The 22,437-nt window shown below is 45.6% G+C and overlaps 1 long non-coding RNA gene across 1 annotated transcript; it reads left to right on the forward strand.

The window, feature by feature from the left end:
- The first annotated feature begins 9,961 nt into the window (after window positions 1–9,961).
- On the forward strand, window positions 9,962–14,407 carry LINC01736 (long intergenic non-protein coding RNA 1736). The gene is made up of 2 exons (NR_135116.1): window positions 9,962–10,238; window positions 14,018–14,407. It is a non-coding gene; the product is annotated as a long intergenic non-protein coding RNA 1736 (long non-coding RNA).
- Window positions 14,408–22,437: the final 8,030 nt, after the last annotated feature.

The raw sequence follows: 22,437 nt of genomic DNA on the forward strand, positions 1-22,437 counted from the left end.
AATAAAGAATAAGCTTTCTAGGATTTCATTAGTGAAAAAACAGAGAATAGTGTATTCAACGTGCTACCTTTGGGAAGGGTGCAAAATAATGATATGCATTTATATTTGCTTATATCTGCAAGAAGACAGGCTAGAAGGATACCCAAGAAACAAAGCTGAGGGTGGGGCAGATGGGGAGGAAGGAGGTAGACGGGACAGAGGCATACGCAGGCTTCTCAGTATATATCTTTGTTATATCATTCTGATGTTTGAACCATGTATATTACCTAATGAGAAATACGATAAAGTAATAAAATACAGTAAAAAATTCTACACATTCTAGTTCTAACTCAATTACTACAATTAACTCTGTAGTTATAGAGATATAATTGTACTTTTTTTTTGAGGTGAGGTTTTGCTGTGTTACCCAAATTGGTCTTGAACTCCAGTGCTCAAGTGATCCTCCCACTCCAGCCCCCCAAGTAGGTGGGATTATAGGTGTACATCACTGTGCCTGACTTTCATTTTCCTTTTCTGAGTTTCAGTTCTCTCTTCTCTCAAATGGATTCATTGTTCTTTGATCTCTTGGTGTCTCTGAAAGTCATTATATATGACTTTGTATAAATTCATTATATATGAATATATGTCTATATTCATTGTTGTTTGAATATATGTCTATATTCATATATAATGTGTATGTATATGTGTATGTCTATATATGTATGTATGTCTATATACATACACATATACATTCATACATGTTTTAAAAGAGGGAAGGAAAAAGCTTAATTGATTAGATGGTATTCCAGCCTGTGTTTCCTTAGTTATATGTGTGTAAAAAATGCTTTGCCTGGTTGTGCCCCACAGCCACACTTCACCTATTACCTGAATTATGGGTCTAAGAGATGACGGAAGCTCTTGGAGAACTTAATTCATAACCCACATCTCCATGGAATGTTCCCACCATGTGACCACAAAGTGGAGAGAGACATCGATAACTAAGAACAAGCAATGTCTGATCCTATAGATAAAATGAACAGGAATGGATACTGGGGCAGGAAACCCAAGTTTTCAACAGAGAAGTGGTTAGAACAGGGGTAGAACCAAGACAACTGGAATATTAGAATGATGAGACAGTGATATGCAGGCATCTTTTTTCATCATCTCAAATTCAGAATTTATTGTAGATATGGACACTGTACTAGAACTGCAGGTGCCCTCTCCGGCTCTTCCACAGCCCAGTGTCCCCTCCAGTTGCATGCCACCAGCAGATGACATTCTCACCATCACAGCAACCATTGGATTTACTACCAGAAGACGCCAGTTAACAACATATGTAGAAGTGCAGTGATACATCAATCCACTAGCACTCCTGAACACATCAGCCTGGCGTGAGCAGAGCCCTGTAGAGCCCTGACATGGAAGAAAACAGGCCCCTGAATGAAATGAACAAAAAGATGTGGAAGCAAAGAGAGGAAGCCTAGGTAGGCACTGCCATAAGGGCAGCTGGGAGGTAGAAGAAGGCTCTGGCCTCCCAGGAGGAGTTTGGGGAGCCTGTCTGACACTGTGGATATACTTGCCTTCAAGTGCTTGCAAAGCTGTCACGTTGATGAAAGCATTGAGTTTTATTTTTCGAGACGGCATTCTGAACTGGTGGCAATTCAAGTGAGAAGGACCGTGGCTCCAAGGAAAGAGCTTTCTACTAGGGGCTTCCTATCACTCAGCTCATGCAGCCTGGACCACTGTCTTCCATCCAAGATGCTGGAACATTAGTGTCCACACCCAGATACAAATAGAATCACACAGAGCAGCTTGTTCCAAATCAGCTTCTCAGGCCTCATCCCAGACACTCAGAGTTAGCAAGTCAAAGGAGGACCCCAACTTTGGGTTCCCAACAAGCACCCCAGGTGACTCTGATACAGCAGCATGTGAAATGAAATTTGGAAGCCACTTAGATAAATAATCTAAAAATGGTTCAACTCAAGTTTCATGTTATCCAGAGTCTGGCCTGCCCCCAAAGAGAGGTAAATTATAATAATCCTTTCTATTTCTTTCCAAGAAAGAAAAAGTCTTGGTTCTGCAACCTTGTTGTCTTGGCAACATTTCTTGTTGAAGTCTGTATTTCATCACTCAAATCCTTGCACCACAAGAAAATACAAGGCACCTTTAGAATTCTGCGGCAGGGAGAACATTGTAATCCCCCCGGGGACAGGCTGCGACACTATGTTAATGGGCTGTGTGGAACAGTGCTCAACCTGGAAAGGACACCTGTTCCCTGAAAGGGGGCCTGTCACTGCCCCCAGGCATCTGGAGACAAGGTCAGCAGGGTGAAAACACACCCTGCTGGGGTTGAGGGGATAATGGTTCACATCTTTTGTGGCCTGACCCTGGGCATATCACCTGACGATCTTGAGCCTAGTTTTCCATCTGTAAACTGTTGGCTACAATGTTCAGATGCATTTTAATTAATTCTGAAACTATATAGTAACTGTCACTTATGGAAGACCTACTGATATGGTTTGGATATTTGTCCCCTCCAAATCTCGTGTTGAAAAGTGACTCCCAGTGTTGGAGGTGGGAGGTGTTTGGATCACGGAGGTGGCTCCCTCATGCATGGCTTAGCACCATCCTCTTGGTGATAAGTGAGTTCTTGCTCATTTAGTTCACCCAGTGTCTGATTGTTTTAAAAAGGCTGGGCCCTCCTCCTTGCTCTCTTGTTCCTGCTCTCACTATGTGATGTGCCTGCTCCTGCTTCACCTTCTACCATGATTATAAGCTTCCTGGGGTCCTCAGCAGAAGCCAAGCTGATGGTGGTGCCATGTTTGTACAGCTTGCAGAAACATGAGCCAAATAAACCTTTTTTCTTTATAAATCATCCAGCCTCAGGTATTTCTTTACAGAAATGCAAAAACAACCTAACACACCTACGAGAAGCAAAGTGTGGAAGTGTTCTCTCTAATATACGTGTGTGTGCACATGGTAGAAGGACCACTACTTATACCTATGAGTAAAAGCTTCTGAGTCCTCCATGAAGCTGAGCAGATGCTGGTACCATGCTTGTACAGCCTGCAGAACTGTGAGCCAAACAAACCTCTTTCTTTATAAATAACTCAGCCCCAGGTATTCCTTTACAGCAATGCAAAATGAACTAATACAATGCTCATACATGTAAGTATGCATACATGCGTGTGTATACACATATGAATGTGTGTGTGTGTTTTTCTCATCCTTACAATAGCCTCAAGGTTGTTGTTATTCCCATTTTTCTGGTATAGAAAGTGAGGCTCCAAGAAGGTAGGTATCTTCAGGCAGGTCTCAGTTCAAGGGGAGCTATTTGCCAGTATCTGTCCATGCATGTACTCTTTGACTCAGCTATTCTACTTGTAAGTAATCAGCAGTGCTCTAGTTTTCTATTGCTTCTGTAACAGATTGCCACAAATTTCGTGTTTAAAAAACCACAAAGTTATTATCTCACATTTCTATGGCTCAGAAAGCCAAATGGCTCAGCTGGTTTCTCTGCTTTGGATCCCACAAGGCTAAAGTCAAGGTGTTGGCTGACCAGGGCTCTTATCTAGAGGCCCTGTGAGGAATCCAGTTGCAGACTCATTCAGGTTATTGATAAAACTTGGTTCCAAGCAATCATAGCACTGAGGTCCCTGATCCCTTGCTGCTGCCAGCCAGGACTGTTTCTCAGTATCTGGAGGCTTCCCACACTCCCTGGCTCAAGGATCCTTCTTTTTCAAAGCCAGCCATGGTGAGTTGTCTTTCTCATGATTCAAATCTCTCTGGCATTCCCTCATCCCTCCTGCCTCCAGCTGGAGAAAGCTCTGTGCTTTGAAGGGCTGTCTTAGTCTGTCTGGGCTGATATAACAAAATACCTGAGACTTGGTAAAATAATTTGTAAACAACAGAAATTTATTGCTCACAGTTCTGGAGGCTGGGCAGTCCAAGGTCTTCCTTACCAGCAGATTCAGTGACTGGCCAGGGCCTGTTCCTCAGAAATGGTATCTTCTGTGTGTCCTCACGTGGTGGGAGGGGCAACCAAGTTCCCTCAGGCCTTTTTTTTTTTTTTTTTGAGACAGAGTCTCGCTCTGTCACCCAGGCTGGAGTGCAGTGGCCTGATCTCGGCTCACTGCAACCTCCACCTCCTGGGTTCAAGCGATTCTCCTGCCTCAGCCAGCTGGGACTACAGGCACATGCCACCAAGCCCAGCTAATTTTTTGTATTTTTACTAGAGAGGGGGTTTCACCATGTTGGTCAGAATGGTCTTGATCTCCTGACCTGGTGATCCACCCGCCTCGGCCTCTCAGTGCTGGGATTACAGGCATGAGCCACTGCGCCCAGCCGTCTCAGGCCTCTTTTACGAGGGCACTAACCCCAAGAGTGCTCTACCCTCATGACATCATCATATCCCAAAGGCTCCGCCTCTTAATACCATCACCTTGGGGAGTAGGTTTCAACATACGATTTAGGGGCCATGCGTATATTTAGACCATAACAAAGGCTCATGTTATGAGGCTGTTCATCCAGATAATCCTGGGTAACCTTGGTTTCTTAAGGTCTATAACCTTGATTCCATCTACATAATCCTTTTTGTCATATAACATAACATACTCAAAAGTTCCAGGGATTAGAACGTGAATATCTTTGGGGCAGTCATTTTGTACAAACTGCACTTAATGCAAAATGATATATCTACAAGAATAGTCATTGCTGTATTCATTGTAATAGTAAAATAATGAAAATAACCTAAATATGCATCAGGAAGTGAGTTTATACATTATGGTTTATATGACGGAATATACTATGCAGTTGTTAAAAAGAATGTGGCAGCTCTATATGAGTTTATATAAAAGGATCATGTTATTGGCTGGATGTGGTGGCTCACGTCTGTAATCCCAGCACTTTGGGAGGCCAAGGCAGGTGGATCACTTGAGGTCAGGAGTTCAAGACCAGCCTGGCCGACATGGCAAAACCCCATCTCTACTAAAAAAACACACACACACACGCACAAAAACTAGCCGGGCATGGTTGTGTGGGTGCCTGTAATCCAGCTACTTGGGAGGCTGAGGCGGGAGAATTGCATGAACTTGGAAGGCGCAGGTTGCAGTAAGCCAAGATTGCAACACTGCACTCCAGCCCAGGTGATGGAGTGAGACTCTGTTTCAAAAAAATAAATTATGTCATTGTATTTGGTGCAAAAAGGAAGAGTATAAATGCTACAATTTGTATTTGTGTCTATTTATATGCATCAATGCCATGCAACATTTTTGGAAAAGATGCACAAAAGACTATTGACCCCAGTAGCCTCCCAGGAGGGCAGATGGGAGACAGAGCTATCAAGCTAGAGGACAGAGCTATCAGGGCAAGGTACTGACGCTGGAGCCAGGCTGCCTCGCTCAGCTCCGCACTGTAGTGTGAGTTTGGGAAGGTGATCTCTTTGTGCATTAAACTCTTAATCTGTTAGTTTCACAATGTCTTTGTGCCTCAGTGTCCTCATCTGCAAATGGGAATGTTAATACCACTACTTGTTGTAAGGTTAAAAAAAAATTCATGCATATATGCAAAGGTTTAGTGTACAGCCTGACACAGAGTAAATGCCATAAAAGTATTTGCTATCATGATCTGTCCAAGAACACATAAGTGAATTATGGAGGGCTGAGGGGAGGTGGTGCCACATTGCTATGACCAGCGACTATCATGCAGAACTTTTGAGCCCTCCCTACTGTGAGGGTCCAGAGAGAAGGGGCAGTTACTCGCCCGAGTCACTCTGAGAAGTAGAGGTTAGGCCTTGGAAGCCAGGCCAGGCTGAGCAGGGTCTCCTGGCTTTAGATCTAGTGGTTCCTTTTTGAGACAGAGTTTCACTCTCTCACCTAGGCTGGAGGACAATGGTGCAATCATAGCTTACTGCAGCCCTGAACTCCTGGGCTCAAGTGATCCTCCTGCCTCAGCCTCCCAAAACGCTGGGATTAAAGGACCGAGCCACTGTGCCCAGCCGGGTCTAGTGGCTCTTCCATGGCCCCATCAGTGGCAAGAGTGGTCACCAGGGAAGCAGCACATCTCTGCCCTGTTGCTTGCTCACCAATAAGGTGAGAAATAAAGGCTTTAATAGGTGCGATAACAATTTTTAGGAGATGCCACCTCAACCCAGGGTCTGTTTTCTGTTCCTTCCCTATGTACTCCCCTTAAATCTCCAGACCCCATGATACGTGAGCTAGAGCTATTTGAATTGGGCCTTTAACCTCAGTTCATCTCTTGTTTTGCAGCTGTGAAATAGGAGAATTAATATTACCCAGTTTCCCTGAAAGAGGCCTGAGTCACTTTGGTTATGCACCATTTTCCAACGCTCTGAGAAGCAGCCTCAAAGAACTACAAGAACCTTTTTAGAAGCAGTTGCAACTGACTGCCAAGGAAAGTTCTGGGCCATAATTCTTTAACGAAAACATTCAGACCTTTCCATGATTAATCAAAAGGGAAATAAGGAAAAGGGAAATCATGAATTCGTACTAAATCGCTACACTTGGAGCAGACGCTGCCTCTTGGCAATTCTTTCTCAGCACTTGTTCTGCCAAAGGGAGAAAAGGAAATAATGCACTGAGAATTTCTTCCCCTCTCTTCTGTCTCCTGATCTCTTATTTTTTTTCTTCTAAAGGTCAAATGTATTTGCTGAGCTGCCTCGACAAATACCTGCCCTCCACTCAGAGGCTGAAATGTCATTGCTGAAAATGAGGAAATGGAGTGACAGTGGAAGAGCCGTGGAGTGCGGGCTCCTAGTGACCGGCCCCTGCTGGGACACCCACCCCATGCAGACTTTACTACAGCCTTCGCAGAAGCTAACACTGTAATCAAGGCTGCAGGATTTCTGCTCCCTTGCTTTCCCTCTCTTTTGACTACATATTTTATTTCAGCCCCGTGGTGAATTATTTATTCGGAGGGGAGGTGGGAGAAAGTGAGGAGAACTCAGCCCTTTGGGAATAATAAGAATATAAGAAGACACAGCGGCCTTTCTCAGCCGGGAAACAGGAAGCACAGGTCTCCTTTTTAAATCTAACTAAGGAACTGGTAGAGTCGGCGGATGCTTGTTGAGTGTGGCTTTTGTGATGCTTCCAGTATGTAGCAGCAATGTTCCCAGATGTAGCCAAGGCCCAAACCTGGGGGAACCGCATGCCAGTCAGAGGGGAGGCTCAACCTCCCTCACTGGACGGGAATGCCTCCTTTGTGAAACCCACTTGGTAGGGCTAAGGAAAGGCTTGGACTTTGCTGATGTGGTCACTTCTCAGCTCCCAAACAGAGTGGGATGTAGCATCTGAGTAAAGGCTTACCCTGGCTTCAGAGGAGCTAGATAGAGATTCAACCCAGGGCCAGGCTTGTTTCTAATTAAAGTGGGCTTACCTGTCCCCAGCACCTGCACAGGTAATGAGACTCACCCAACATGCCCACCACTGCTATATCAGGTACCTCTGTAATGCTCCATCAGAATAGTCTACAAGAGTTCACAGGTTGGGCATGGTGGCTCACACCTGTAATCCCAGCGCTTTGGGAGGCCAAAGTGGGACGATAGCTTGAGGCCAGAAGTTCAAGACCAACCTGAGGAACATAGCAAGACCCTGTCTCCATAAAAACTTAAAACTTAACTGGCATTATGGCATACACCTATAATCTCAGCTATTTGGGAAGCTGAGGTGGAAAGGATCGCTTGAGCCCAGAAGTTCAAAGTTAAAATGGGCTATGATTGCGTCGCTACACTCCAGCCAGAGCAACAGAGTGAGAATGTCAAAAAACAAAAAAAAAGAGTAACACAACTTCCAGAAACTCATATGCCTTAGGAGCCATGAGAGAAACTGCTTCCATTTGACACATGAGCAATGTCCAGTGCTACTTTGGGTCCCATTGCCAATGTTTGCCTAACATTAGTAAATCATTCCTGTTTACACCGGGGTTTTGCAGTTATTTTCTCTGGAAGTTCTGTGTTGTGGATTAGCTGGAAGGCAGCGGAGGATTGAGTCTGGGGAGCTCCTTATGAGACGCAAATAGCTGAAAGAGTGGGCAGACAGCCACAAAGCCCTCCTGCTCCTCCAGGGCTCGTTGGCCAAAGAAAAGTCATGTTCTGGCTACAAGTGACATCCAGAGAGCAATTTTACTTTTATTTCTACATTTTTACAATGTTCATTTTTTATTGACTAGGGAGATACAGTTTATGATTAAACAATATTGACTTGCCATAGAGTCATTCTGGTTGCATTCATTTTGGCATTGGATTACCTGGGATCAAATTCCCGCTCAGACATTTGCTAACTCTGCCATCTTCAGCACTTAATGTACATGAGCTCTCTAAACGTCCTAGCAACCCTGCAAGGCAGGCACAATGAGTATCCCCATTGCACAGACTGGACAACTAAAGCTTAGAATAAGTAAATGCATGAGCAGGCATTTGATCCTAGGCAGTCTGGTTCCAAAATGAACATAACCAGAATGGGTACTGAAATAGTTATGATTCTAAACACTCCCTGTGTCAGCCAGCTCCAGCTGCCATAACAAAGTGCCACAGATTGGGTGGCTTAAACAACAGACATTTATTTTTTCACAGTTCCAGAGGCTGGAAGTCTGAGATCAAGGTGTTGGCAGGGTTGGTTTCTCCTGAGGTCTCTCTCCTTGGCTCGCAGATGGCTGTCTTCTCCCTGTGTCCTCACGTGGTCTTCCCTCTGAATGTGTGAGCATCCCTGGGGGCTCTTTGTGTGTCCCCATCTTCTTACAAGGACACCAGACATACTGGACTAGGGCCCACTCCAATGATCTCATTTTAACTTGGTTACCTTTTTAAAGATCTTGTCTCCAAATATGGTCACATTCTGAGGTGCTGTATGTTGGGGCTTCAACACGTGAATTTTGGAGGGACATGATTCAGCCCCTCACACCCCCATTTCTCAGATGAGGAAACTGAGGCACGGAGCAGTTAGAGCATGCAGAACGTCAAAGGTAGAGCCAGCATTTAGACCTTGGGCAGACCAGTCCGAGGGTCCTGCTGCCAACTTCTACACCACAGTTTCCCAGGCTCGAGTGCAGGGGTCAGACCATTGCTTTACATCTTGAGACCATGATGCTGGCTGTTAGGAAACGAAGGTGCTGGGATTCAGGAGAGCTGGTAGAGTGCTAGCATCAGCGCCCTATGTCCAAGGCAAGAAAATAAAGGTAAATTGGAGATTGAGTGTCTGATCTCAGGTCTTGCAATACATCTGCAGAGAGAAGAGAAGTTTCTAGAAGGCAAGCCCTCTGGCTCTGATCCCTCCAAGGGAGCCTCTGCACTCTGGCCCTAAAACCTGGTCCCATTAAGTGCTCAGGCCTGGAGTCAGACAGAATGGGCTTCTATGTGCCTTGGGTAAACCACTTAACAATTTGAACCTCTGTTTCCTCAGTGAGAAACATACACAAGGCTGATGGTGAGTTTTCTGAGACGAGACATGTTTCCAGCACTCCCCACAACACCTGGCACATAGCAGGCTGTCCGTAACTGCAATCATGATTGGGGTCCCACCTCCCAGGCCCCCCTGCAGGTGCAGCAGGAGGAGCAAGGACACAGGTCATGCCCAGTCTGTGAGGAGGTGGCACCAGGCTGCAGCCATGAGTCTTAAGCTGAGCTACAATCTCCCCAGGAACAAGGAGATTGGAGCTCGATTCTACTCCTCCAGGTTGCAGGCAGAGCCAAATACACTGAGAGGCTTAACATTCCAGATTAATTCTTCCCTCCAGTGGTTTGCAAAAGCTGTGAGTTTGAAAAGAAACAAACTCAAACTTTGAGAGTAAGAGTAGGGAAGTGGGAGATGGTACTGTTTCAGACAAGGGTGGGGTTGGTGGACATTTCGCAACAAAGCCCCAGTGGCACAGGCTGTATTTGGGCTTTCCTGCTGCATTGAGAGGTCAGCAAGATTGCCTTGGCTGGGAACCAAACTCATCCTGGTTTCCTGTCTTGGGATCTCAAGGGGCTAGAATGAGCTGCTATTCCAAGGGAGAGAAGAAAGCAACCCCAGGAAGCCTGGCCCCGAAGACTGTGAGGTATGGTGGGGCCTTGCTGTGCTCTGGACTGGACAAGAGGCACCCTGGGCTCTGGACACAGCCAGATCTTCAGCCAATTGCATCTCCGGCCCAGGGCAGGCCCTTTATCTTATAGCCCAGTGGTGCCTCTCTCCTCACCTAGGAAACAAAGCCAACAGGATCTGCACCACCTCTGCCTCCCGGACATTGGAAGGACTAAATAAGATCAGGTACGTGCAAAGAGTTGCAAAAATAACCAAAAGGTAGGTGCTGCGTGGAATCCAAGCTGCTCATGTTATTGTGCGTTTGGCATCCTCCAGGAAAGCAGCCAGGCAGCGGGGCCATCTCGTGTGCCCCAGTGCAGGTGACAGAGCTCTAAACAATTCACACCATCTGAAATATGCAGAAAACATAACTGCAGAAAGCTCACGACAATAGATTTCCCCTCATTCTTTTTTTGTAGAAGGTGTAAAAATAATGATATGTGATTATTATAATCACAAACTCCATGAAATTAACAATTTAGCCAACATTTATTGAGAAGTGACGAGGTGGAAGACCATGCTGGCTACTGTGGAAGCGTTCAGGGTAACCAAGCATATTTCTTATTTCCAAGATGTTTATAGACGAGAGGCGGAAGAGCAGTTTTCACTGTATCTGTGTGCTCGCTCTTCCTTTTATTCAATCAGTAAGCATCTATTTAATGCGTATCGTCAAGCACTATGCCAAGTTCTAGGGGTTCACACAATATAAAAATACATGAACATCATAAATGGTTTGATAGAACAAAGTATACAGGGAGCATAGGGAAGGAAAGGTTAATCCTGACTTAAGAAATCAGAGAAAGCTTCCTGGAGGAGGCAACATATGAGCTGTCTTTAACTGATGGCTGAACTTCTAGTGCTTCGAGATGGGAGAAGAGCCCTGAAGAGAAAAGGAGGTAAGAATGCAGGCAACAACTCAGGGGGGCCCCTGCTGGCCTCAGTGTGGGTGGGTGCTTGTCTCGGTGTAGCTGGAGTGAACGCAAGAGTGGTCCCAGCTCAGAGCCGTCGGAGGGCCTAAGCTCCCCACCCAAGCCCCAGAGCTGGCCCCCCGTCTCTCTTTCCCATGATTCGGCTTTGCCCTGTTTCCCACAGCAAACCAGAGGTGAAGATGGGAATTCTTAACCACAGTCACTTTCCAGCTCGCCACCACTGCTTTCAGGTGGGGACCCTGGGACCCTCTTGCTGGACTTTCACTGCAGACCCCGACTCGCCTTTGCATCAACACCCACCAGGCACTGCGCCCCTCACTTCCCTGAGCTCCTCCCCCAGCTAGCTCTCCCATTCTCCCTTAGGTGTCTCTGAGTGGAACAGGGACAAGATAACGTATGTTTCTACTACAGCATAATCTCAGGGCAGTATTGTGCAAAGGGCTAGGAGTTTCTTTCCTTCCTCTTGCCAAACTTTCCGACAGGGGTGGTGCGGAAGGTGCTGGAGATGCGGGGATCACTGCTCAATTCCGAATCCTCGACTGCAGAGCCGTTGAAAGGGTCAGAGCTGGGCAGCTGTACTGTCTTTTTTTTTTTTTTTTTTTTTTTTTTGAGATGGAGTCTCTCTCTGTCACCAGGCTGAAGTACAGTGGCGCAATCTTGGCTCACTGCAACCTCTGCCTCCCAGGTTCAAGTGATTCTCCTGCCTCAGACTCCCAAGCAGCTGGGACTACAGGCGTGTACCACCATGCCCAGCTAATCTTTTTGTATTTTTAGTAGAGACAGGGTTTCACCATGTTGGCCAGGATGGTCTGTATGTCTTGACTTCGTGATCCACCCGCCTCAGCCTACCAAAGTGCTGGGATTACAGGTGTGAGCCACTGTGCCCGGCCCGGGCAGCTGTACTTTCTGAAAGAGACTCTTGGGTCAAGGGCACAGGGATGTGGGAGAGGAACCAGGCAGCAGCCAAGTCTGGAGGCTATGGGGCAATGTCAGAGAGATACAGGGAAGACCTGGACTCCGGATGAGCCAAATGGAATGGAAGAAGTGAAGACATGTGAGAGAAGTTGTCAAAGAGACCCAACAGAATTTGCCAGTGGCCTGCAATTGGCAGGCTTGAGTGAGGCAAGAGGGACAGACTGTGTGGAGGTCTTGAGGCGGGTGACCAGGAAGATGACTGTCCAGTACTCCCAGCTGAGGAAGGAAGGAAAGAAAAGCCATTCTGCAGGCTGCGGGGTTGGGGGTGTGAGGGGGGCAAGCTCAGCTGGGAGCCTCTGAGTGGAGCAGCGCTGAGTACCTCTGTGTGGCCCGAGGAGACATTGACAGGCTGGACGCTCACCTCGGGCCACCTGGAGGGCATCAGCCCCCAACACTCAGCACAGGGCCCAGCCACGGGCCAGGGAGGGAGGAGGACATGAGGCCCACCTCACAGGCTTCAGCAATAGCAGCAGAGTGTCCTGTCGGCGCTGCCTGCAGGCCTCCTTCTGCCCTCCCATCATGAGGAAAGCCCCTAGGAAAGTCCTGGCAGCAGTAAAGAGCGCTCCAACGTGCTGTGTTCTCAGACTAGAACCATTTCTGCCCATTGTAGATACTTGTCCTGTAGGTAATCCTATTAAACATTCTGGGATTTTCCCACAGGCTCTAGCATGAAACCACAATCTCAGAGGCAGTGAAATTTAGCTCAGGGAGATTCTTTGGAAAAATAATGATCACAAGAGTTTTTCACATGGTGTGGGGACCAAAACTCACCCCAAATCCTACAAGAAGGCAGACTGCAGGCAGATAAAATACTAACTTAAAAAAATTGTATTTCCATAGGTTTTTGGGGGAACAGGTGGTGTTTGGTTACATGAATAAGTTCTTTAGTGGTGATTTGTGAGATGCTGGTGTACCCATCTCCTGAGCAGTAAACACTGTACCCAAAGGGTCGTCTTTTATCCCTCCCCACCTTCCCACCCTTTCCCCCAGAGTCCCCAAAGTCCATTGTATCATTTTCATGCTTTCGTATCTTCATAATTCAGCTCCCACTTAGGAGTGAGAACATCCAATGTTTGGTTTTCAATTCCTGAGTTACTTCACCTAGAATCATGGTCTCCAATCCCATCCAGGTTGCTGCAAATGCCATTAATTCATTTCTTTTTATGGCTGAGTAGTATTCCATCGAAAATACTGACTTATGCCAAAAGTAAGGCTAAGCATGACAGGAGTTCATATTTCCTTCCAGTGGCTGGTGTCCTGTCTCCATCCTGCCTGGGATAACACTGAAAATCGCCTTAACTTCCTACGTCCTGGTATGAGCAGATGGCCTGCAGGAGACTTGAAGGAGCTTAGCTTTCTTTTCTATCTTGAACACACATGCAGACAGGTGAATCGAAGTGAGAGGAGGCAAAAATGTCTCCCCCGACTCCCGTGGAGAAGCGGAGCTGTCCTGGTTGGACTAGGCATAGTTATCATCAGTTGCCAGTCCCTGGGCATCTGCCTGAAGGCCCCAGCCTTCCTGGAGGAGTCTTTTTCCTCACTACGTGTCCCCACCATAATCCATGTCCCTTGTATTAGTTTGCTAGGACTGCTGTGTAACAAAGGACCACAGCCTCGCTGGCTTAACCCACATAAACTTATCATCTCTCAGTTCTGGAGGCTGGAAGTCTGAGATCAAGGTGCTGGCAGGGTTGGTTCCTTCTCAAGGCAGTGAGAAGGCATCTGCTCCACACCTCTCCCCTAGCGTGTGATGGTTTGCTGGCCATCTTTGGCATTCTGTGGCTCATGGAAGCAGCACCCTCATCTCTGTCTTCATCTTCACATGATGTTCCCCTGCATGCGTGTCTGCCTCCAAATTCCCCCTTTTTATAAGGTCTCCCTTTATAAGGACTCCAGAATGACAGTATCTTAGCTAATCAAATCTGCAACAACCCTATTTCCAAATAAAGGTCTCATTAAGAGGTGCTGGGAATTAGGACTTGAACATGTCGGTAAGAGGGTGGTACACAATTCAGCCCATCCCATTCCTCCTCTCTCTCTCTCTTCAAAAACCTTTCACAGAGACCTCATTCCTAGATGGAACGAGGAATGGTAGCGACCACGATCCTCCCCTCCCAGGATCTGCGCCACAAGGGAAGATCAGAACCTTCAGCTGCCAGAAGCACTGTGGCGGAAATGTAGGTCCCCATCCAGGCTGATCTGAGCTTGGCTTTCTGGAGCACGCAAACCTCGATGCACTGAACTGCTGCCGGACCTCACCTTGCCAGGCCCACTGTGCTCACACTCACACATCGCTCCATCCACTGGAGGCTGCAGAGGCAAGATCCACCAAGAAGATGGTCTTCCTGTCCAGGATGCCCTTCCCTGAGAGAAGTGTATTTAATCTTAAATTCAGATGTTTGTTTGTCTACCCACTTAAAACACCCTGTTGAATAAAAATTACTCAAGGAACACATGGAGGCTTTGTCCATGTAAAAGAACAAATATCATTCTCTTCCTGGAGCTGTCTCCTCATAAAATTGTCTTCCCTTGCTCTTCTAAATTGCCTTCCCCACTTTGCACCCTTCTCTGACCTCTTACCCATGAGACTTTGGAAGGACCCCGTGGTTCAAGGCCGGGAGCTTGTGTCTGGCTGCAGCAGTCATCTTAGGCTCCCAGAGGCTACCTGCAGAAAAGTGGAGTATGTGATGCCTGCAGCCCGAGGGGCCATCCCCAGGGGAGTCACAACCAGGAGTGTTTGATGCCTGCCACTGAACCCACAGTTCTTTTAAAGGGAGCTTCAGATTATCTATGGGGAAGGGGAATCTTTGAGTGGTATTAGGGCCGGAAGGGGAGAGCTGGGAATTCATCTGGAAGCCAGATTTGCATAGCAAACACAATGGCTTTGCAGGAAGCATATCCTCATTTAGATGACATTTGATTACAAAAGGTGTTCAATGCTTATACACTGTTGGCGGGAATGAAAATTAGTTCAGCCACTGTGGAAAGCAGTTTGGAGATTTCTTAAAGAACTAAAAATAGACCTACCATTTGAGCCAGCAATCCCATTACTGGGTATATACCCAAAGGAAAATAAGTCATTCTACCAAAAAGACACCTACACTCGTATGTTTATTGCAGCACGATACACAATGGCAAAGACATGGAAGCAACCTAGGTGTCATCAACGGAGGATTGGATAAACAATAAGCAGTACATATACAACATGGAAAACTATGTAGCCATCAAAAAGAAGGAAGTCATGTCCTCTGCAGCAACATGGATACAGCTGGAGGCCATTATCCTAAGCAAATTAATGCAGAAACAGAAAAATGAATGATCACATATTCTCACTTAATGAGTGGGAGCTAACCCCTGGGTACACATGGATGTAAAGGCGGGAACAAAAGACACTGGGGACTCCAAACGGAGGCGGGAGAAGGAGGGGCAAGGGCTGGAAACCTTCCTATGGGTGCCCTGTTCACTATCTGGGTGACGGGATCAATGGAAGTGCTGCACCAAACCTCAGCACTATGAAACATACCCTTGTAACAAACCTGCGCATGCACCTCTTGAATCTAAAATTTAAATTTAAAATTTTTTAAAGATTTTTTTTTATTTGTAAGTTACTAACTAACTTGAGAAGGGGTCCGTAGCCCACATCCGCTCTAGTGGGCTCCCAACCCCTCCTCAAGTTAGTACCCCAGTCCTGGGTTCTAGCTCTTCCCTGAGCCATCCCCTTCTCCATTCTTCTTTGTCTTGGTCTATTTGGGCTGCTGTAACAAATTACCATAGATTCGGCGGCTTAAACAACAGAAATTTATTCCTCTGGGTTCTGGAGGCTGAAAATCCCACATCAAGGCATCGGCAGATTTGGTGCTTCATGAGGGCTGCTTCCTGATGGCCATCTTCTCATTGTATCCTCCCAAAGGGGGAAGAGAGATGGAGAGCCGTCCCCTGTTTCTCTTCTTTTAAAGGCACTAATCCCATTCACAAGGACCCTGCCCTCATGACCCAATCACTGTCTAAAGGCCCCACCTCCTAACACCATCCGCTTGGAGGTTAGAATTTCAACACGTGAAATCCTGGGTGGACACAAACATTCCATGTAATGCCTGTCTCCATGGCCAGGCTGGTCAACTGTATCTCCTCTTGCTTCCTGATAAGAAATACCTTCTAGCCACGTGCAGTGGCTCACACCTGTAATCTCAGCAATTTGGGAAGCCAAGGCAGGTGGATCGGTTGAGCCCAAGTGTTTGAGGCCAGTCTAGGCAAACCAGTCTGGGCAACATAGTAAGACCCTGTCTCTACAAAGAAGAATTTTTTTAATTAGCCAGGTATGCTGATGCAGGCCTTTAGTCTCAGCTACCCAGGAGGATGAGGTGGGAGGATCTCTTGATCCCTGGAGATCAAGGCTGCAGTGAGCCATGGTTGCTCCACTGCACTCCAGCCTAAGTGACAATGCAAGACCCTGCCAAAAAAAAAAAAAAAAAAAAAAAAAAAAAAAGGAAGTATCTTCTTCTACCTCTTTACCCCTTGATTCCCAAACTGCTTGACTCTTTGCATCTTGATATCTTGGTCTTGTTTTGCCCAGTTTAGATTTGTTCATCTGGCTCTGTACAAGTCACCTGATTTCTGCTGCTCTGGAAAGCCTGCAGGACTGTGAACACCATAGCCTATAATCAAGGGCCCAAGGAGCATGAGCTGGCCCTGTCAGAAGCAAGGACTCTGCCTATTTGTCAACCCAGTTCCCTGAGACCTGGACTTAGGGACCCCCAGCTATCTCTGTTCTCTCAAGTGTAAAATGAGGGTCCAAATGATCCACTTTGCAGATTGCTAGGATGATGACACGAGGCAGCCATGCAAATCCCCCAGCACAACGCCTGACATCTCCCCTAATCTCTTAACCATTACTGCTGCCATCAGTGAGGCTCCTACCCTCAATGTGGCCTCACCTGAGCCTTAGGGCAGGGTGGCTTTCAGGAACCTGTGGTTCTGAAGAGGTGGCTGAGTTTGGGTTCCCTGCAAGGTAGGTATCTGAGTGAAGTAGTTTATGTGGGTGCTGATCCTGGAAGCATGAGGGAGGGAGCGGGGCAAGGAGACGGAGAAGAGTGTGCTGTCAAGATCATCACTTCGGAAAAGGAGGGCGGGACCTCACCAGGTCCTCTGAGAAGGGTGCAGGACTCCTTGCAGCGCTGCTTTGAAGGGTGGGGCTGAGGCCTTTATCCCTACACTTCATCACCATTAGTGATTGCTCCTGAGAGGCTGCATCTCCTGTCCTTCTCAGGTGTCAGACTCAAGGGACATCAGTAAAGGCCCTGGGGTAGACAGTGAAAGGACACAGGCTTGTGGCAAGTGCTAGTTGCTGGAAGGGAGTTAAGTTCACATGGACTGGCCCATGAGGCTGCAGTGAAATTCAGAGGTGGGCGCAGGAGGTGTGGCCCCCACCCTAGGGGCATCTGCTCCAGGGAGTGAGACCAGAGAGTGAGGTAGTCACCGTACTCATAGAGGCTGTGTATATGTATGTTTTAACTTCTTTATTTTAGTGCATTTGCTTTATTTTGTTTTACAAAGGTAATATATGCTCATGGTAAAATTCAAATAATTCATAATGTTGACAAGTGAAAAGTAAATAAAAGATAGTTTTCTCCCCTAAACCTTTATTCCCACTCTCCAGAAGTAACTTCATTTTATAGTTTCCTGAACTTCTTTCTCAATATTCTATCCACATATACGCACAAATACCTATTTCTACCTTTGTTTTGTTTTACCCAAAATGGATTCCAACCATACATAACTTACATAACTGCTTTTTTTTTTTCCCACAAAGTAACATCCCCCCGAGATAGGTAGATGTAAATCTAGCCTGTTCTTCTTAACAAATGAATAATAATCATTGTGTGGTTGTACCATAATGTGTAATTGTCTGCTATTAGTGGCGATTTAAGTTGTTTCCAGTCCTTGCTATCACAAGCAATGCTGCAAGGACCATGTGTGTACATGTATCTTTTGCATGCTGCTTCAAGTATCTCTGCAGAGTAAAATCCTTGAAGTGCTTCATCAAAGCTACGTTCATGTAAAATTTTGACAGAGATTGCTAAATTGCTCTCCAAACACATTGCATCAGTTCACACTCCCACCAACAGACAAGAGTGTGGGTTTCCTCTTATCCTGCCACGCTCAGAATTATCCAGTGTTTAAGTCTTTGCTAATTGTTGTGCAAAAACAATTACATCTGGTTGCTTCAATTCTTTATTAGTGAGGATAAACATCTTTCCATGTAGCTACTGACCATTGCATTTCTTTTAAGGAAATCACTTTTGTCTATGTTTCTGTGGGGTGCTTCATATTTTTCTTATTGATTTGGAAGAGTTCTTCATGTGCCGATAGGGTTTTAATGATTGAATCACCACAGTGAGAATTCTTTTCGGGCTCCTTATATCAGATTTCCCCTGACCTGGTTTATCATCCGAATCATCTGGGAAGGTTCACAAAGTACACATTCCTGGACCCCATCCCAGAATTCCTGACTCAGTTTGTCTGCAGTGGAGCCAAATATCCGCATCCTTGTATTTTTTAAAGCTCCCTAGGTGATTCTGGTGACCAGAATCCTCAGTGGCTGGCTTAAGGGACAGCAGAATTTACCACTTTCAGGCTGCCCTTTGTGTAAGACAGGTTCCCATCTTCTTAGGGCAAGTGAGAAGAGCCTGCAGTATCAGGTGTCTGCTACTTTCTCACAAGGTTTCAGAGGACAAAGAGAGCAGAGACTGAAATCAGGGCCAGGTTGAGCATGGTTGACTCTGACTCACTAGGCCTTAAACCCTTCTCCCCCAGAGGGAAGCATTGCCCAAAACCAAGAGAGGCAGCTAGCCTCCTGCTTCAGACCTCCCAAAAGGGAAATAGCAGGTTGCTTGCTTAGGGTCGTTCAGGATGTGGCTCACCCTTTTTGTTTGGGTAGATTGTTTCCTTAGGGCACCGGTTGCTGGCTCTGGTCCTCCATCAGTGTATTGGTCACTTTCAGGGCAAGTGCTGTGAGCTTCTTCCCATCCCCCACCCAGAGCCAAGTTCAGCCTCCCAGATGAGGCTGAGTATTCTGGGGGTTGAGAGCAGAGCTTCTTTCCTTGAACAAAGCAGGGTGTCTTCTTTCTGGTCCTATGTCATTGTCATTCTCTTTGGCATCCCTCCCATGTGGATGTGACTTGCAAAATTGGATTAAAGTCGGCTGTTTGTAACTCAGAATTCACTTTTCCATGGAGACTCTGTTTGGATGGAAGTTAACTGCCAGCGTGGTTGGTGAAAGTCCACTTCACCCGCGAGGTGGGTGGGTGTGAGTCCCAAGGGTGCCATCCCTCTCCCTGGCTCTGTCCTCAGCCAAGCATAGGGGTGACCCTCACCTTCCTCAACCACAGTAGTGGCCTGGAAGGCAGGGCAGGGGAGCCCCCATTGTAGAAAATTCTTTAGAAATATTCTTTATAAATCAGACAACTCTAAGTTATACAAGTTGGGGACCTCTGATATTGCACAATTGTTCTGCTTTACTGTCCAAAGAACACCAGGGAAGCTTGGCCTATTTTATAAAAATAATAGAAAGAAGAATAGATCAAGTTCAAGTTCATAAATAAAACTGATTTATAGATTGTAAAATCCACTTCTTAAAAACTCTGGCACTAAAACAAATTTACAGCTGGCTGCAGCCTGTAAAATCTGTTTCTTACTTTCCCTCAAAAGAGTTTGATTTAAACTCATTTCTTCCCAAACCCTTCCAAGCACTCAATTCTGATAACACTCCGAATTACTGAGACTCTCTCAGTGTAATGGTGCTAGGTTCATTGCCTGATGCACAGTGAGTCAATATACTGAGACACCGAAGTTTGCAGCAGAGAAAGAGTTGAATAATTGTAGGGTAGCTGAATGAGGAGATGGGAGGAAACCTCAGTTCCAACTCCCTGACAGGTTTGGGGATGGGTTTTTTCAGGGGTCTGGAGGGTTGAAGGAGTAGGATGTGGAAGTGGTTGATTGGTTGATAAGTGAAGGGGGACATTGATGATGAAACCACATTTCTGTGCTGAGTCAGTTCTTTGGTGGGGGTCCTCAGACCGATTGGCGTCAATCGTTCTGCTGGAATTCAGAATCTGAAGAACACCTTAAGCAATTCTCCAGTATAAAGGTCCAGCGTCAGAAATTCTATCTATAGGAATGGCAGGGAGCAGGTGGCCAGCATGCTACATAGCTCTTGGTTAGTTAGCAGCTGCGGGGAAGGAGGTTGAAGGGCACAAGTGCTCCCTGGTCAATGCTTAACTATAATTCTGCCTAAAGCCTGGCTTGTAATTCTCATTAACCCTGTGAGGGCAATTTCCTCAGTCCCAAGGACCCCTGCTCAGTTAGATTGTCATATTTTCCCTAAAGCTGTGAGTTACAAGATTGGCTGCAAGCAACCCTCTACCCCAAATTGCCCAATGGTGATTTCTTTTTCTTCCCATGACTTTGCCACTTGCACTGACCTTCACAGATTGTCCCTCTTGGAAGAAGTCAGGGATGGTCACTCATAGGATCATGCCTTTCTCATTTATCAGATATATATATATGATATATATATTTCTCATTTATTTTATATATATATATATCAGCATGACTTTATGTATGTAAAGTTACTTTGGATTAGAAAGAAAAGGGGAAGAAAAGGCAGCCCTTCTTCCAAGATGGTGAAGGCAGAGATGAGAACAGAGAGTCTCTACACCCAAACCTCAGGGTACCTACATTGCAGCTATGAAAGTTCAATTATCCATTTAGTTGTCTAGACTCACACTGTAAGGGCAGAGCTTTATTTATTCCTGTCCTCCCTTCCAACCCTCCTTATCCCCCGCCCCTGCTTCATTTTTCTCCACTGCATGTGTCATTATATGGCATACTAAATAGTTTACTTATTTATTTATAAACTTCATAAAAGCAGGCATTTAAAACATTTTTTTTTAAATTCACCACTATATTACCAGCATGTAAAACCATTGCTGGCACATTTTGAATGCTTGATAAATATTGGTTGAATGGATGAAGGTTGAGAATATTGCTCAAACCCTATCTAGGTTTGTTTTAAACTGTCAACATCTCTGTAGATTTACTCCTGTGTTTATGAATTTCCTTCTTCACCCTCCTTCCTTGCAGCCCACTCTTTCCTTCTGGGTTCAGTCTCCTTACTCCTGAAATACACACTTAGTAGTTCTTTCAGTGTGGTTCTGCTAGCCAAAAATTATTTTAATCCTTGTTTGAAAATACATTTGTTTTCCTCTGATTCTTGAATAATGTTTATATTGCCATAGAATTCTAGGATATCATTTATTTTGAAATGAAATTCCAGTGTATCTAATAGCATTTACTTTTTATGCCATCTTTTTCTCTGTGGTTGTTTTTAAGATCTTTCTTTTGAGTATTCTGTAGGTTCACTGATGAATCTACATGTGGGTTTACTTTTATTCATGTTTCTTGGGATGCATTGCACTTCATGAATCTGAAGATTTGTGTCTGAAATCCATTCTAGAAAGTTCTTAGCCATTTTCCTTCAAATATTAATCTTCTCCCATTCTCTCTATTCTGTACTGGAACTTCCATTAATAGATAAGGTGGATTCTCATAATTTTCAGTAGTTATGTTCCATAAAGCCACCTCAGATATTGAATCAAGAAATACAGAAACATGCTCCTGGTGGAAATATAGGGTTAGATTTCTACAAATCTTCAGTGACAACATTTTCACCAACCGATCAATACATAACCTTGTTCTGTGTGTGTTTTTTGGTTTGACTGCACAGTCATGAGCTATGTAATGACATTTCAGCCAACGATGGACCATATATATGACAGTGTCCCATAACATTATAATAGAGCTGAGAAATTCCTATTGCCCCATGACATCACCCTGAGCAATTGACTACTGAGGAGTTGTTGGAGCTGGAACAGGAACACATATCTGAAGAAAAGTCAAGTAAAAGGAATCAGTAGAAGAACAAGAAGGAAAACACCCACAAAAATTCAGTGCAGGGTTTAGCAGAAGCATTTGCAGATCCCAACAAGCTCCTTAAAAAGTTGAAAACATTAACCCCAACACTGGAAAGTTTTCATTAGTAGACAGGAATGTTCATGATGCACTATCTCCTTACAAGCAAATCTATGATTAAGAAAGAAAGCAAGAAACCAAGCAAATCACCATGGCCATATATGTCTGAAAAGCGTGACATCCCAATAAAAGCCTCAGGCAGGTCCTCCAGGAAATGTTCCAAAAGGAGGCCTTGTTACCATAGGAGATAGTATTATGTTATTGCCCCTGAAGCACTTCCAGTGGGACAAGATGTGGAGGTGGAAGGCAGGGATATTGATGATCTTCACCTTGTGTGGGCCTAGGCTAATGTGTGTGTCTGTGTCTTAGTTTTTTTGTTTGTTTGTTTTTGTTTTTTTGAGACACAGTCTCGCCCTGTTGCCCAGGCTGGAGTACAGTGGCATGATCTCAGC

Source organism: Homo sapiens, chromosome 1, assembly GCF_000001405.40.
Source record: "Homo sapiens chromosome 1, GRCh38.p14 Primary Assembly".
Lineage (NCBI taxonomy): Eukaryota > Metazoa > Chordata > Mammalia > Primates > Hominidae > Homo > Homo sapiens.